At 48.2% G+C, this 16,192-nt stretch overlaps 1 protein-coding gene across 2 annotated transcripts in view, besides 2 other annotated features; it reads left to right on the top strand.

The window, feature by feature from the left end:
- BICRA (BRD4 interacting chromatin remodeling complex associated protein) overlaps positions 1-16,192 on the top strand; it is a 95,082-nt gene that overhangs the window by 17,739 nt on the left and 61,151 nt on the right. The gene's annotated exons all lie outside the window — the stretch shown is intronic.
- Positions 958-1,532: an enhancer, noted in NCBI's record as "H3K27ac-H3K4me1 hESC enhancer chr19:48130149-48130723 (GRCh37/hg19 assembly coordinates)". NCBI's record gives its function as "activates a minimal SCP1, AML or CMV promoter by ChIP-STARR-seq in naive H9 embryonic stem cells {active_cell/tissue: H9 hESC(naive)}" and the evidence as "EXISTENCE:reporter gene assay evidence [ECO:0000049][PMID:30033119]".
- Positions 6,643-7,286: an enhancer, noted in NCBI's record as "H3K4me1 hESC enhancer chr19:48135834-48136477 (GRCh37/hg19 assembly coordinates)". NCBI's record gives its function as "activates a minimal SCP1, AML or CMV promoter by ChIP-STARR-seq in primed H9 embryonic stem cells {active_cell/tissue: H9 hESC(primed)}" and the evidence as "EXISTENCE:reporter gene assay evidence [ECO:0000049][PMID:30033119]".

Here is a 16,192-nt window from a genome sequence, read left to right on the forward strand (position 1 = left end):
TTTCTTGGCCCCTGGGTCTTATGAGCAAATGGTGGTTCTTAATTTGGGGTAAGAGGGAGCTCCAGTCCTTTTAGGAATCTGCTTAGAGGCCACAGACTTTTCCCCAGAGAAACACACACTTGACTCTGTATCCCAAAGTTTGGCAAAGGGGTTCAGGAGGGGTGGGGAGCCAGTTAAGAGCTGTTCACGGATCGTGATGGCAATAACCATGATAATCACAGCCAGCACTTACCTTGGCTCGCCCCAGCTTGGTTCTGGTCTAGGCCACTTACAAGCATCAGCTCCTTCACTCACAGAAGGACTGGAGGAGGTAGGTGCAGGGAGCACCCCGATTTTACACGAGTAAACTGAGGCACAGAGCGATTAAGTGACTTGCCCAGAGCCCGACAGCTGCTAAGTGGCAGAGCCCCCACTCTCTTCCCTGGATGGTCTGCTTCCTGGATGGAGCCTGTTTCTGTTTTGTTTTGTTTTGGAGACAGAGTGAGACTCTGTCTCCCAGGCTGGAGTGCAGTAGTGTGATCTTGGCTTGCTGCAGCCCCGACCTCTCGATCTCCCAGGCTCAAGCAATCTTCCTTCCTCAGCCGCCCAAGTAGCTGGGACTACAGTCATGTGCCACCATGGCCCGCTAATTTTTTGGTTTTTTTTTTTTTTTTTTTAGAGACAGGGTCTTGCCATGTTGCCCAGGGTGGTCTTGAACTCCTGGGCTCAGGTGATCTGCCTGCCTTGGCCTCCCAAAGCAGTGAGATTACAGGCATGAGCTACCACGTCCAGCTGCATCCTGGGTTTTTTTTTTTTTTTTTTTTCTGAGACAGAGTCTCGCTCGGTCACCTAGGCTGGAGTGCAATGGCGTGATCTCAGCTCACTGCAACCTCCACCTCCCGGGTTCAAGCAACTCTCCTGCCTCAGCCTCTGGAGCAGCTGGGATTACAGGCGCCCACCACCACACCCAGCTAATTTTTGTATTTTTAGTAGAGATGGGGTTTCACCATGTCAGTCAGGCTCGTCTTGAACTCCTGTCCTCAAGTGATCCGCCCGTCTTGGCCTCCCAGAGTGCTGGGATTACAGGCGTGAGCCACCGCGCTTGGTCCACCCTGGGTTTTTATTCATCAAGCCTCGCTGCCCCCTTGGTACAGGGGCCAAGACCACAGCTGGGAAGCTCCTTTCCTCTTGCCCCAAGAGCCAGCCTGGGTTGCTGCTGAGCCATTGCAGGCTGAGGCACAGCCTCTCTTTCTCCTTTTACGCTTCCTGATGTCTTCTTTAACATAATCATGGCCACCTCAGCTTCTTTCAGAGAGCAATATGTTCCTGAGCTAGAGACATGGGTGACCAGCTGGAGTCAGGATTTGGGGGGTGTGGTGTAGGTCTAGAGCCAACTGTGGCACTGGAACAAGGCCCCTACCTTGTTCAGCCTCAGTTTCCCTAATCAGCTAGAGAGGCCTACTTCCTCCTTGGAGGTTAAATAGATGACATTCATAGGTCAACGGAAATGCTGCATTTATGGCAATAACTGACCTTGTAGGTGTTTCAAAATTCAGGCCGTTTCAGACCAGAGTGCACACAGGATGATGTGGGACCCCCCAGCAAGGCAGGCAGCTCCCCGTCAGCACATATGCTAGCACTTCTGCGAAGATTTCTGCAGCAAATATATCTGCTGCTGTTGATACTAAGAGGGAGATCTAAGGACAGCCATTGCAGTTCCACTTTGCCCCACAATGAGCCAGGAAAAAAGAAAAGGATGGCTTTAGAGATTTTTGGAGGTTGGAATTGCAGATTAGGGGGCCACAGACCTAAAATGCCTACCGAGTAGGATGAGTGGGTTTTTTGTTTGTTTGTTTTGTTTTGTTTTGTTTTTTGAGACAGAGTCTTGCTCTGTTGCCCAGGCTGGAGTGCAGTGGCACGATCTCGGCTCACTGCAACCTCCACCTCCCGGGTTCAAGCGATTCTTCTGCCTCAGCCTCCCAAGTAGCTGGGATTACAGGCGCATGCCACTATGTCTGGCTAATTTCTGTATTTTTAGTAGAGACGGGATTTCTTCATGTTGGCCAGGCTGGTCTCGAACCCCTGACCTCGTGATCCACTCATGTCAGCTCCTCGAAGTGGTGGGATTACAGGTGTGAGCCACCGCGCCGGGCCAGGGTGTGGGGTTTAATTGGGATGATATGTTGTGGAGTGACTGGCACATGACAACATGACAAGGACTTTGTCATTGCTGGTTGCTATTACTATTGACTGTTGTTGCTATTATTATTACTAACCCCTCTTCGGTCTGTATGGGCTGGTGCAGACACATTGGGCTGTGATGCAGATCCACAGTTTTCTAGACTTGCACACCAGTTCCTGGGGGATCCTGTTACCACGTGAGTTCTGAGTCAGCTGGTGCAGACACTTTGCATTTCTTAACTCCCAGGTGAGGCTGCTGTGGTCAGGGGCCTGCCCTCTGAGTAGTAAGGTGTCCAGTGGTTTTCCAGGTGTTTCTGAGTTACTTTCAAGGATTCTGCAAATGGAGGGGAGGCATTGGATGCCAGGGTCAAAATAAGATTCCTTAGCTCTTAGCTTTGGGGTTTGCCAATTTGCAGCCAGGTCTGTGTTAATCATTACATATGGAAAAAAGTCATATAACACGACGAAAGTCTTTGCACCATCTCCTCTTCTTTCCTTTTCCAAAGGTGACCTCTGTGGGGAGTTTGGGGCTCATGGTCTCTCTCTGTTGTCCAGGCTGGAGTGCAGTGGCATGATCATAGTTCATTGCAGTCTCAACATCCTGGGTTCAGGTGATCCTTCCACCTCAGCCTCCTGAGTAGCTGGGGCTACAGGCACATGCCACCACACCCAGCTAATTTTTGTATTTTTTTTTGTAGACACAGGGTTTTGCCATGTTGCCCAGGCTGGTCTCAAACTCCTGGGCTCAAGTGATCCTCCTGCCTCGGCCTCCCAAAGTACTGGGATTACAGGTGTGAGCCACCGCACCTGGCCTTAATCATTTTTAAATGTGCAGTTCAGTAGTGTTAAATGTACTTTTATTATGTAACAGATCTCCAGAGCTTTTTCATCTTGCCCAACTGAAACTTTATTTATTTATTTTTTTGAGATGCAGTCTCGCTGTGTTGCCCAGGCTGGAGTGCAGTGGCACAATCTCGGCTCACTGCAAGCTCCGCTTCCCGGGTTCAAACCATTCTCCTGCCTCAGCCTCCCAAGTAGCTGAGACTACAGGTGCCCACCACCACGCCCGGCTAATTTTTTTTGTGTTTTTAGTAGAGACGGGGTTTCACCGTGTTAGCCAGGATAGTCTCAATCTCCTGACCTCATGATCCACCCGCCTCGGCCTCCCAAAGTGCTGGGATTACAGGCGTGAGCCACCACACCCGGCGTCCAACTGAAACTTTATATGCATTCAACAACTCCCCCCATCCCCAGTCCCTAGTAGCCTCCATTCAACTTTCTGTCTCTATGAATTTGACTTTAAGTGCCAAATTTAAGTGGACTCCTGTAGTATTTGTCATACTGTCACTGGCTTATTTCACTTATTGTATTGTCCTGAAGGCTTATTCGTGGTGTGGCATGTGACAGGATTTCTCTCCTCTTTAAGGTTGAATAATATTCCGTTGCATGAATAGACCACATTTTGCCTATCCATTTATCTGTCGATGAACACATGAGTTGCTTACTCCTCTTGGCTATTGCGAATAATGCTGCTTTGAACATGAGTGTGCAAATATCTATTTTTTTTGTGTGGTTTTTTTTGAGACGGAGTCTCGCTCTGTCGCCCAGGCTGGAGTACAGTGGTGCGATCTCGACTCACTGCAACCCCTGCCTCGCAGGTTCAAGTGATTCCTCTGCCTCAGCTTCCTGAGTAGCTGGGATTACAGGCACCCACCACCATACCCAGCTAATTTTTGTATTTTTAATAGAGATGGGGTTTCGCCATGTTGGCCAGCGTGGTCTCTAACTCCTGACCTCAGGTGATCCACCCGCTGTGGCCTCTTCTCAAAATGCTGGGATTACAGGCATGAGCCACGGCGCCCGGCCACCCATTTTAGCTCTTTTTAAGTGTATAATTCAGTGGCATTAAGTACTTTAATATTGTGTAACTGTCACCATTATCCATTACCAGAACCTTTTCATCATTCCAAATAGAAACTCTGTACCTATTAAAGAGTAACTCTCTATCCTCCCTTCCCTCAGCACCTCGTTACCTCTATTCTACTCTCTATATATTGGCCAATTCTTTTTTTTTTTTTTTTTTTGAGATGGAGTCTCACTCTGTCGCCTAGGCTGGAGTGCAGTGGCGCAATCTCGGCTCACTGCAAGCTCCGCCTCCTGGGTTCACGCCATTCTCCTGCCTCAGCCTTCTGAGTAGCTGGGACTATAGGCGTCCGCCACCACGCCTGGCTAATTTTTTTTGCTTTTTGTTTTTTTTTTAGTAGAGACGGGGTTTCACTTTGTTAGCCAGGATGGTCTCCATCTCCTGACCTCGTGATCTGCCCGCTTCGGCCTCCCAAAGTGCTGGGATTACAGGTGTGAGCCACTGCGCCCGGCCTATATTGGCTAATTCTAGGTACCTCATGTAAATGGAATCATCCAGTATTTGTCCTTTTGTGTTGATTTCACTTTACATGTCTTCATGGTTCATCCCTGTTGTAGCATGTATCAGAATTCTTTTCTTTTTTTGTGGCTAAGTTCATCTTCCATTGGATGGATAGACCACATTTGGTTTACCTATTCTGCCATCGATGGACACTTGGGTCATGTCCCCTTTTTGCTATTGTGAACGACGTTGCTGTGAACATAGGCTCTAAGTATCTGTTTGACTTTTTGCCTTCAGTTTGTTTGGGTTTATATCTAGGAGTGGAATTGCTGGGTTGTATGGTAATGATCTGTTCTAACTTTTGGAGGAGCAGTGGCTACATCATTTCACATTTCCACCTGCAGTGCACGTGGTTCCAGTTTCTCCACATCCTTGCCAACACTTGTTGTAGTCTTTTATTTTTTTTCCCCACACGAAGTTTTCAAAATCTGGTGTGTATTTTACACTCACAGCACATCTCAGTTGGGACTCGACATATTTCAAGTGCTCAAATGTCACGTGAAGCTGCTCATAGTGGAAAGCACAAGTTTAGTTGATTTATGTTTTTGGGGTTTTTTTTGAGACAGAGTCTGACTCTTTTGCCCATTCTGGAGTGCAGTCATCAAGGCTTACTGTAACGTTGAACTCCTGGGTTCAAGCGATTCTTTCACCTCAGCCTCCTGATAGCTGGGACTACAGATGTGCACCACCCCATCTGGCTAATTTTTTATTTTATTTTATTTTTTTGAGACTGAGTCATACTCTGTCACCCAGGCTGGAGTGCAGTGGCGCAATCTTGGCTCACTGCAACCTCCGCCTCCTGGGTTCAAGCAATGCTCCTGCCTCAGCCTTCTCAGTAGCTGGGATTACAGGCGCACGCCACCACACCCGGCTAATTTTTGTATTTTTAGTAAAGACAGGGTTTCACCATATTGGTCAGGCTGGTCTCGAACTCCTGACCTCAGGTGATCTGCCCTCCTCAGCCTCCCAAAGATCTGGGATTATAGGCATGAGCCACCACATCCAGCCTAATTTTAAAAATTTTTTGTAGAGGCAGGAACTCACTATGTTGCCCAGGTTGGTCTCAAACTCCTGGCCTCAAGTGATCTTTTTGCCTTGGCCTCCCAAAGTTCCGGGATTACAGATGTGAGCCACCGCACTCGGCCGATTTATGTTTATTATAATTATTGGTATGGCTGGAGGGCAGTGGTATGATCCCGGCTCATGGCAGCCTCTGCCTCTTGGGTTCAAGCAATTCTCCTGACTCAGCCTCCCAAGTAGCTGGGACTACAGGTGCACACTACCACGCCTGGCTAATTTTTGTATGCTTAGTAGAGACGGGGTTTCGCCATATTGGCCAGGCTGGTCTCAAAGTCGTGACCTCAGGTGATCCACCCGCTTCACCCTCCCAAAGTGCTGGGATTAGAGGCATGAGCTACTGCGCCCGGCCTTTCCCTGCTTCTTTTAAATGGAATATTTTAGTGTTCCATTTTATCTCCGCTTTTAGCCTGGTAGCGCTACCTCTTTATTGCTCTAGAGTTTCCATTCTCTGTCTTTGACTAGGACTTTGGCTTTGAATCTGAGTGAGATGGGAGCCATGGGAGGGCTTTGAGCTGGGGAGTGACCCGACCTGACATTTTTATATCCATACCTTGGGTTGCTTATGCAAGAGTGTTTCCACCGGCCAGATTCCTGGAAAAGGAATTGCTGAGGCAAAAGGGAGCGAGCATTTAGACTTTGGTGGCCCCGCCAAGTTGCATTCCAGAAAGGCTTCACCATTTTCACTGCTGGCAAACAGCAGCCGGAGCTTTTGAGTGGCTGTTCCATGCCAGGCCTGTGCCGGACTCTGGGGACCTTGGCAGGAGTCAGCCTGGGGCTGGCTGCTTCCTAATTCTCAGTCCTCGAGTCCTACCTCCGATCTCAAGAAAAGGTGAGGATTTCAGAGAGGCCATAAAAAGGAGAAGCAAGAGATGATTGTGGGTGGCTGAAGGCGGCCTGGCACATCCCAGGTGATGGGAGAGCTGGCTGCATCCGATGGTCCCACCGCAGGGAGCGTGACCAGGAGGTGGAGTGTATTGGACTGGGAACCGCACGTGTGGGCTCCCATCACTGTGTGCCATGTTGGGGTGCAGTTGAGGGGTCAAATAATAGTACCGCCCTCATGGGACTTGTTTGGGAGGATTCAGTGAGAGAGCAGAGAGCACACAGTCAGAACTTAAGGATCCGGGTTGTCATTTGACCAAATGATCAGCACGGTGGGAGGGGACCACCTTCAGGCACAGGCCCACCCAGCCTAGGGAAAGGCGTGACTCAAGTTTTGGACAGTGTTTAAGGCCTGTGTCAGAAGAACTTGGGCTCGGATCCCCAGCTGTCTCCTTCTCAGGCAAGTTCTCTGTTAGACGAGGTTAAATGACAGCAGAGTCTGCCTCCCGAAGTGGTGCAAGGGTTCGGCTCAGTGAGATGATAGCACCAAAGAGTTCAGTATCCATCCTGAACCACAGTAAGGGTTGATAAAGCTTAGCGGCTCTTATTAATATTGCTGTCATTTTGTTGCTGTCATTAATTTTATTTGATTTTATTTCTTTTTTTTTTTTTTTTTTTTGAGACAGTCTCACTCTGTCACCCAGGCCGGAGTGTGGTGGTGCGATCTCAGCTCACTGCAACCTCCACCTCTAAAATTCAAGCAGTTTTCCTGCCTCAGCCTCCAAGTAGCTGGGATTATAGGTGCCCGCCACCACGCCCGACTAATTTTTTTATTTTTAGTAGAGACGGGGTTTCACCATGTTGGTCAGGCTGGTCTTGAGCTCCTGACCTCAAGTGATCCGCCTGCCTTGGCCTCCCAAAGTGCTGGGATCACAGACCTAAGCCACAATGCCCCGGCGTATTTTTCCAAGATGGGATCTCCCTATGTTTTCCAGGCTGGTCTTGAACTCTGGGCTCCAGTATTCCTCCCCTCAGCCTCCCAAAGTACTGTAATTACAGACGTGAGCCACCTTTCCTGGCCAGTCATTATTTTAAATTTAAGGCCTAATAGGCAACAGCCAGACCCTTAGTCTTCCTCTAGGACTAAAGCCCCAGAGGTGTGGGGCAGTTGCTCAGGGTCAGGAAATAATAGAGTAGAGATGGGAAGCCAGGTTCCTCTGACCCAGGGTTTCCCCATTTCTGGAGAGCTTCCAGGTTTAGGGAGCAAAGTCTCTTCTCCTGTTATAATGGACAGTGAACAAGACATGATATGAAAACACCACCAATGGTATTAATCATGCTAATGGTACCTCACCTGTAGTGAGTCATCGGGTGACAAGCCCTGACCTGAAGCCAGGCTATTTATAACCCGTCTTTATTGAGCTCCATCTGAATATTCATATGTTTAGCTCAGAAATATTAAGAATGGATTGCTGGGTGTCTCAGAACCCGCCGAGGGGCGTTCTGTGCGTTCACCCTGTCCCCCTCCAAAGCCTGAAAAACCCCTCATTTCAGAACACGTCTCACTCCAGAGGTTTCCACTAAAAGATCGTGGAGCCATGTGAATGTAAATTCCGTTTCCCCCTCTTCATACATCCCAGGCTGCATACTGCACACACCGTTTGGCATCTCCCAGCCTTGTGTTTTATTGTATTTACCACTCAGCTCTCCAGTCCTTGCCAGACGAGTGAGAATGAGCAGTGGCGTCAGGCCTTGACGGGCTCTGCAGGGTGGGCGGGAGGAGTGGGCAGTGCGGCTTCTGGAACCCATTCTCTGAAGGCTCAGAGCCTGGAGCCCAGAGCGAGGCCATGGCTGGGATGAGGGAGGAAGGGGGAAAGACATCATGGACTAACTCGGGCCTGCCCTCGACATGGGATCTGCCTTGTGGGACCAGGAGGAGGCCATGTTGGCTGTGCCCACTTTGGTGGGAACCAGGAAGGAGGCCGAGCCTTGAAAGTGGCCAGGTAGAGGAAGGAATTCAGAAAGAGTGCGCCAGAAGGGGTTTCACTCACTTTCTCTCCCCCTTGATCACTGGCACGCTGTCTGCAGCCTGTACCACTTTGCGAAACTCACTAGGTTGTCGAGAGACACCTCAGACTTAATGTGTTCAATACCATGCTCCTGATACGGTTCTCCTCCCCAGGAAGAAACCCATAAAAACCAAAACAAACAAAGCCTGCTTCTCTCCATCTCAGTAAACGGCACCATCTCAGTAAATGGCAGCTCCGAGCTCCCACCCACCTGGGCCAGATACTTTGGTGCCATCCTCAACTCTCTTCTCTCTCTTAAAATTAAATTTTTTTTTTTTTTTTTTTTTTTGGAGACAGAGTCTCGCTCTGTCACCCAGGCTGGAGTGCAGTGGCGCGATCTCGGCTCACTGCAAGCTCTGCTTCCCGGGTTTACGCCATTCTCCTCCCTCAGCCTCCTGAGTAGCTGGGACTGCAGGCACCCGCCACCATGCCTGGTTAATTTTTTGTATTTTTAGTAGAGATGGGGTTTCACTGTGTTAGCCAAGATGGTCTCGATCTCCTGACCTCGTTATCCGCCCGCCTTGGCCTCCCAAAGTGCTGGGATTACAGGCGTGAGCCACCGCTCCTGGCCACATACGTAAAGCTTTTAGAATAATGCCTGATACATCAAAAGCAACATAAATGTTAGCTGCTGTTATTATAATTTTATTGTGGTACAATATACATAACATAAAATTGAACCATTTTTAAGTATACAGTTTGGTGGCACTAAGTACCTTCATAATGTTGTACAATCATCACTACTGTCCATTTCTAGGATTTTTTTTTTTTTTTTGAGACCGGGTCTGGCTCTGTCGCCCAGGCTGGAGTGCAGTGGCTGGATCTTGGCTCACTGCAACCTCCGCCTCCTGGGCTCAAGTGATCCTCCCACCTCACTCTATCAAGTAGGCGGGACTACAGGAGCGTGCCACCACATGTGGCTAATTTTTTTTTTTTACTTTTTGTAGAGACAGGGTCTCACTATGTTGCCCAGGCTGGTCTTGAACTCCTGGGCTCAAGCTATCCACCTGCCTTGGCCTCCCAAAGTGCTGGGATTGCAGGCATGAGCCACTGCACCTGTTTCTATTTCTAGGATTTTTTTCAAACAGAAGCTCGATACCTGTTGAACAATAACTCTCCATTCTCCCTGGCCCCCAGCCCCTGCAAAACTCTTCTGCTTTCTGTCTCATTGAATTCCCTACTCTAGGCACCTCATCTAAGTGGAATCATGTGATATTTGTCCCTTTGTGTCTGGTTTATTTTATTTAACACAGTAAAGGCTCATACATGCTATAGCACATATCAGAATTCATCCCTTTCTAAGGCTGGGTAATACTCCATTGTGCAGATATACCACAGTTTGTTTACCCACTTTTCTGCTGAAATGGATAAACTTGGATTGTTTCCACCTTTTAACTACAAGTTGAGCATCCCCTAATCTAAAAATCCAAAATGCCCCAAAATCTGAAACTTTTTGATCACCAGCATGAAGCCTTTGCTTTCTGATGGTTCAGTGTACACAAACTTTTTCATGCGCAAAATTATTAAAATTATTTTATAACATTACCTTCAGACTATGTGTATAAAGTGTATATGAAACATAAATGAATTTTATGTTTATACTCAGTTCCCATCCCCAAGACAGCTCATTATGTATATGCAAATATTTCAAAACTCCTACAAAATCTGAAACCTGGAGCACTTCTGGTCCCAATTATTTCAGGTTAAGGGATGCTCAACCTGTATTATTATTTTGAGACAGAGCGTTGCTCTGTTGCCCAGTCTGGAGTGCAGTGGTATAATCATAGCTCACTGCATCCTTGACCTCCTGGGCTCAAGTGATCCTTCCTCCTCAGCCTCCTGAGGATCTGGGACTACAGGCATGTGCCACCATGCCCAGCTAATCTTTAAAATTTTTCTGTAGATTTGGGATCTTGCTTTGTTGCCCAGGTTGGTCTCCAACTCTTGAGCTCAAGTGATCCTCCTGCCTGGGCCTCCCAAGGTGGTACTGGGATTACAGATGTGAGCTACTGCGCCCAGCCTGTATTATTAATATTATTGAGATGGAGTCTCTGTCACCCAGGCTGGAGTTCAGTGGTGTGATCTCAGCTCAGTGCAACCTCTGCCTCTCAGGTTCCAGCGATTCTCCTGCCTCCACCACCTGAGTGGCTAGGATTATAGGCGTGCACCACCACACCCAGCTAATTTTTCTATTTTTAGTAGAGATGGTATTTCACCATGTTGGCCAGGCTGGACTTGAATTCCTGACCTCAGGTGATCCTCCGATCTTGGCCTCCCAAAGTGCTGGGATTACAGGCATGAGCCACTGCACCCAGCCTGTATTACTGTATTTAATATGCAACCTGGCTTCTGAATTTCTCCCTGTAACCTCACTTCCCACTGAGTCCTCTTCGTTCACTCACTTCAGCCACACCAACCTCTTCCTTCAAGGCAGGCATGAGTCTTACCCCAGGGCCTTTGAACTTGTTGTTCTCCTGCTGTGGGGCCCTCCTTCCCCTCCTTAGTCAAGCCTGCTCTTATCACCCTGTTTAAAATTGCAACTCCCTTGCGCGTCTCTCTCACTGCTTATTCTTCATAGCACTTCATTTTTGACATGCCATCTATTTTACATTGATTTTATTTTATTTTATTTTATTTATTTATTTTTGGGAGGGAGTCTCGCTCTGTCACCCAGGCTGGAGTGCAGTGGTGCAATCTCGGCTCACTGAAAGCTTCACCTCCCGGGTTCACGCCATCCTCCTGCCTCAGCCTCCCAAGCAGCTGGGACTACAGGCGCCCGCCACCACACCCGGCTAATTTTTTGTATTTTTAGTAGAGACAGGGTTTCACCATGTTAGCCAGGATGGTCTCAGTCTCTTGACCTTGTGATCCACCCACCTCAGCCTCCCAAAGTGCTGGGAATACAGGCGTGAGCCACTGCGCCCAGCCTGTTTTTATTTTTTGAGACAGAGTCTTGCTCTGTTGCTCAGGCTGGAGTGCATTGGTGCAATCTCAGCTCACTACAACCTCTGCCTGCTGGGTTCAAGTGATTCTCCTGCCTTGTTGAGACACATAATTCACATATCATAAAATCCAGCCATGTAAAGGGTACAATGCAGTGGTTTTTAGTATCTCCACAGAGTTGTGCAACGGTCATCTCTGTCTAGTTTGAGAACATTTTTTCTCACCCTAAAAGGAAACCTCATACCCACTACGAAGCCACTCCCCATCCCCTGCTCCTCCCAGCCCCAGCAGCCTTTATTTCGCTTCCTGTCTCCATGGATTTGCCTGTTGTGGGTAATTCACATAAACATGATCGTACACTAGCCGATCTTTTTGTGTCTGGTGTCTTTCTCTCTGCGTCATGTTTTCCAGGTCCACCGCTGCTGCGGCGATGCCTCATTCCTTTTTATGGCTGAATAATATTCCACTGGATGGATGGACCGGATTTTGTTGATCCATTCATCCGTGGATGGACATTGGGTCCATTCCCCTTTGGCTATTACAGAAGCTGCTTGGTGGCTGTTTCTTTAGCCAGGTGGAAGGTGGCATTTCCAGCCCCTCTCTGCCCGGGGCTGCTCTTCCACTGTGCTCTCTCGGCACCCACGGGTCTCTGCCTCCCTCCTCCCTCTATTCCTCTCTTCCCTCCTCCTCCTGCTCTTTCTTTGTGTATCTCCCCCTCCCCCAGCCTCAGCCAAGAGAGAGTGAGTCTGGAAGTAATTTCCAGGGAGCCCGGGGTAGGCCCTGAGGCAGCTCTGCTCCCCCCTCAGGGAGGCCTCAGCCTGCCCTGAACACTGGCCCCAGGGGAGGGACAGAAGGGACAGCCTGCTGCTTCTTCAGCTCCCGGGAAGGCATAGGGAGAGGGCCAAGCCTGGGAAACAGCTTTTCTCTGGGCTTTAAAAATTGTGTGCATTTATTTGATTTTTTTGGAATAGGGAACACATGCTCAAGTATAAAACTCAGATGGTACCAAGGATTTCTAGTGACAAGTCTCCTCCCTCCCCCAACTCCCAGCCACCTATACCCACGTCCTCTTCCCAGAGGCAACATGGTTAGGATTTTTGGGCCTCCTTTCAAAGAGATGTTCTGTGCATGTGTAAGCATCTCTGTCACTCGCTCTCTCTGTTTCTCTCTCTCTCTCTGTCACACACACACACACACACACACTTTTTAAGGCAGGTTTGTTTTGTTTTGTTTTGTTTTTGAGACGGAGTCTCGCTCTGTTGCCCAGGCTGGAGTGCAGTGGTGCAATCTCGGCTCACTGCAACCCCCACTCCCTGGTTCAAGTGATTCTCCTGCCTCAGCCTCCCAAGTAGCTGGGATTACAGGTGGCCGCCACCATGCCCGGCTAGTATTTGTATTTTCAGTAGAAACGGGGTTTCACCATGTTGGCCAGGCTGGTCTCGAACTCCTGATCTCAAGTGACTTGCTTGCCCTGGCCTCCCAAAGTTCTGGTATTATAGGCTGGAGCCACCATGCCCTGCCAACAGCAGGTTACATTAATACCATTCTGGCCTTTGTTTTTCCTTTTCAAAAATGTTTTAATGTTTTTGAGACAGGGTCTCGCTCTGTTTCCCAGACTGGAGTGCAGTGGTGTGATCACAGCTCACTACAACCTCCACCTCCTGGGCTCAAGTGATCCTCCCATCTCAGCCTCCTGAGTAGCTGGGACTACAGGTGTGCAGCACCATACCTGACTAATTTTTTTTCATATTTTTTGTAGAGATGAGGTTTCATCATGTTGCCCAGGCTGGCCTTGAACTCCTGACCTCAAGCAGTCCACCCCTCTCTGCCTCCCAAAGTGCTGCGATTATAAGTGTGAGCCATGATGCCTTGCACCCCACCCTGCATTTTTTTTTTTTTTTTTTTTTTTTTGAGACAGAGTCTCGCTCTGTCTCCCAGGCTGGAGTCCAGTGGTGCGATCTTGGCTTACTGCAAGCTCCACCTCCCGGGTTGACACCATTCTTCTGCCTCAGCCTCCCGAGTAGCTGGGACTACAGGCGCCCGCTACTACACACCAGGCTAATTTTTTAGTATTTTTAGTAGAGACGGGGTTTCACCGTGTTAGCTAGGATGGTCTCGATCTCCTGACCTCGTGATCGCCCGTCTTGGCCTCCCAAAGTGCTGGGATTACAGGCGTGAGCCACCGCGGCCAGCCAATTTTTTTTTTTTTTTTTTTTTTTTTTAAGAGACAGGGTTTCTCTGTGTCGCCCTGGTTGGAGTACAGTGTGGCACCATCATGACTCATTGCAACCTTGACCTCCTGGGCTCAAGGAATCCTCCTGCCTTCAGTCTCCTAAGTCACTGGGACTACAGGTGTGCACCACCACGCCCACCTAATTTAAAATTTTTTTTGTAGAGATGGGGTCTAGCTATGATGCCCAGGCTGGTCTCAAATTCCTGGTCTCAGGCAACCCTCCCACCTGGGCCTCCCAAAGTGTTGAGATTACAGGCGTGAGCCACCATGCCCAGCCTGCTGTTCTTTCTAACAACATATCAAGAGGCTCTTATTTACCAGGCTCAGCCTCTTTCACAGTGGCATGGTATTCCACTGGAAGGCCCTAACCTCTTGGGCCAGTCCTGCTTTGCCGGACACCTAGGTTAGCTTCACTCTGTCATAAGGCTACATTATTGAGCATCTCTGTGATTCACATCCAAAAATGAGAGTAACATTTATCCCTTTGTTAACTTATTTGACAGTAATTTACTGAGCTCCTATTGTATTGTATACCTGGCAGTTTTGGGAGTGGGGATGTGACATGAACAAGTCAAAGATCCCTGGCTGGGCACAATGGCTCACGCCTGTCATCCCAGCACATTGGGAGGCTGAGGCAGGCAGATCACTTGAGGACAGGAGTTCGAGACCGGCCTGGCCAATGTGGCAAAAATCTCTCTACTAAAAATAGAAAAATCAGCCAGGCATGATGGTGTGTGCCTGTAATCCCAGCTACTCGGGAGGCTGAGGCAGGAGAATCACTTGAACCTGGGAGGCGGAGGTTGCAGTGAGCCGAGATCATGCCACTGCACTCCAGTCTGGGAGACAGAGTGAGACTGTCTCAAAAGAAAAAAAAAAAAAAAAAATCCCTGCCTCTGGGGAGCTGACCTGCCAGTGGAGGATACTCAAAGTTGGGCTCATCAGACTGTACTGAGTGCTGTGGAAGAAAACAGAGGGAATGGGGGCAGAGAGGGCTGGCGGTGTGGGTGGTCATTGTAACCGGCCCTTGCTGAAAAGGTGACATTTGAACAAAGACCTGAAGGAGGCGAGGGAGCAAGCCCCATCAGTGTGAAGCCCTGTCAGGGTTCCTAGCTGCAAGAACAGCAGGTGCAAAGGTCCTGAGGCAGGGATTTGAAAACACTTACCCAGTGGCACAGCCAGTAAGTGGTGGAGCTGGGGTTTGAACTGGGTAGTCTGGAGTCAGAGTCAGATTTTTTTTTTTTTTTTTTTTTTGAGACAGAGTCTCACTCTGTCACCCAGGCTGGAGTGCAGTGACATGATCTTGGCTCACTGCAACATCCGCCTCCCGGGTTCAAGCGATTCTCCTACCTCAGCCTCCTGAGTAAGCTGGGACTACAGGCACCCACCACCACCATGCCTGGCTAATTTTTTTTTTTTTTTTTTTTTTTGTATTTTTAGTACAGACCGGGTTTCACTGTGTTAGCCAGGATGGTCTCGGTCTCCTGACCTTGTGATCTGCCTGCCTCGGCCTCCCAAAGTTCTGGGATTACAGACATCAGCCACCGCACCTGGCCAGTTTTTTTTAGTAAACTTTACTTAGGTATAATTTATGTACAGTGTGACACACCCATTTAAAAAGTATCATTGGATGCAATTTGATAAATGTGTACCATTATTAACCATCATCACGATCAGGATACAGAATGTTTCTGTTACCCCAAAAGGATCAATAATGCCCTTTTGTAATCAATCCTCCCTACCCCCTGGCTCAGGCAATGCAAAAATCTCTGCTTTCTGTAACTATAGATTCAACTTGTGTTTTCTAATCAGCACATTCAGGGAGTGTGTGATGCCTCCAGCTTTTTTCTTAGAATCTCACCTGTGGTCCTAGCTACTTGGGAGGCTGAGACGGGACAGTCGCTTGAGCCCAGCAGTTGGAGCTATGATCATGCCACTGCACTCCAGCCTGGGTGACAGACCGACACCCCATTTCAAAAAATATAAAATAAAATAAAAATTCAGCTATTCAGGGCAGGGTCTTTTGTGGTTTCATAGGAATTTTAGGATTTTTTTCTATTCCTGTGAACAATGCCATTGGAATTTTGATAGTGATTACATTGAATCTATAGACCAATTTGAGTAATATATATATATTTTTTCCTTGCAATATTAAGTATTCCAATCCATGAACATGGGATATCTTTCCATTTATTTGTGTCTTCTGTAATTTCTTGCATCCATGTATCATAGTTGTCAGTGTTCAGATCTTTCACTTCCTTGGTTAAATTTAATTTAATCTTTTTGATGGTATTGTAAATGCGATTGTTTCTTAAGTCCTTTTTTGGTTAGGTTCGTTGTTAGTGTGTAGAAACACCACTGATTTTTCCATGTTGATTTTGCAACTTTCTGCAATTTCAATTTGTCTGTTCTAGAGTTTGACATAAATAGAATCACACAGCATGTACTCTTTTGTATCAGGCT

The sequence above is a fragment of the Homo sapiens genome, chromosome 19 (assembly GCF_000001405.40).
Source record: "Homo sapiens chromosome 19, GRCh38.p14 Primary Assembly".
Taxonomy (NCBI): domain Eukaryota; kingdom Metazoa; phylum Chordata; class Mammalia; order Primates; family Hominidae; genus Homo; species Homo sapiens.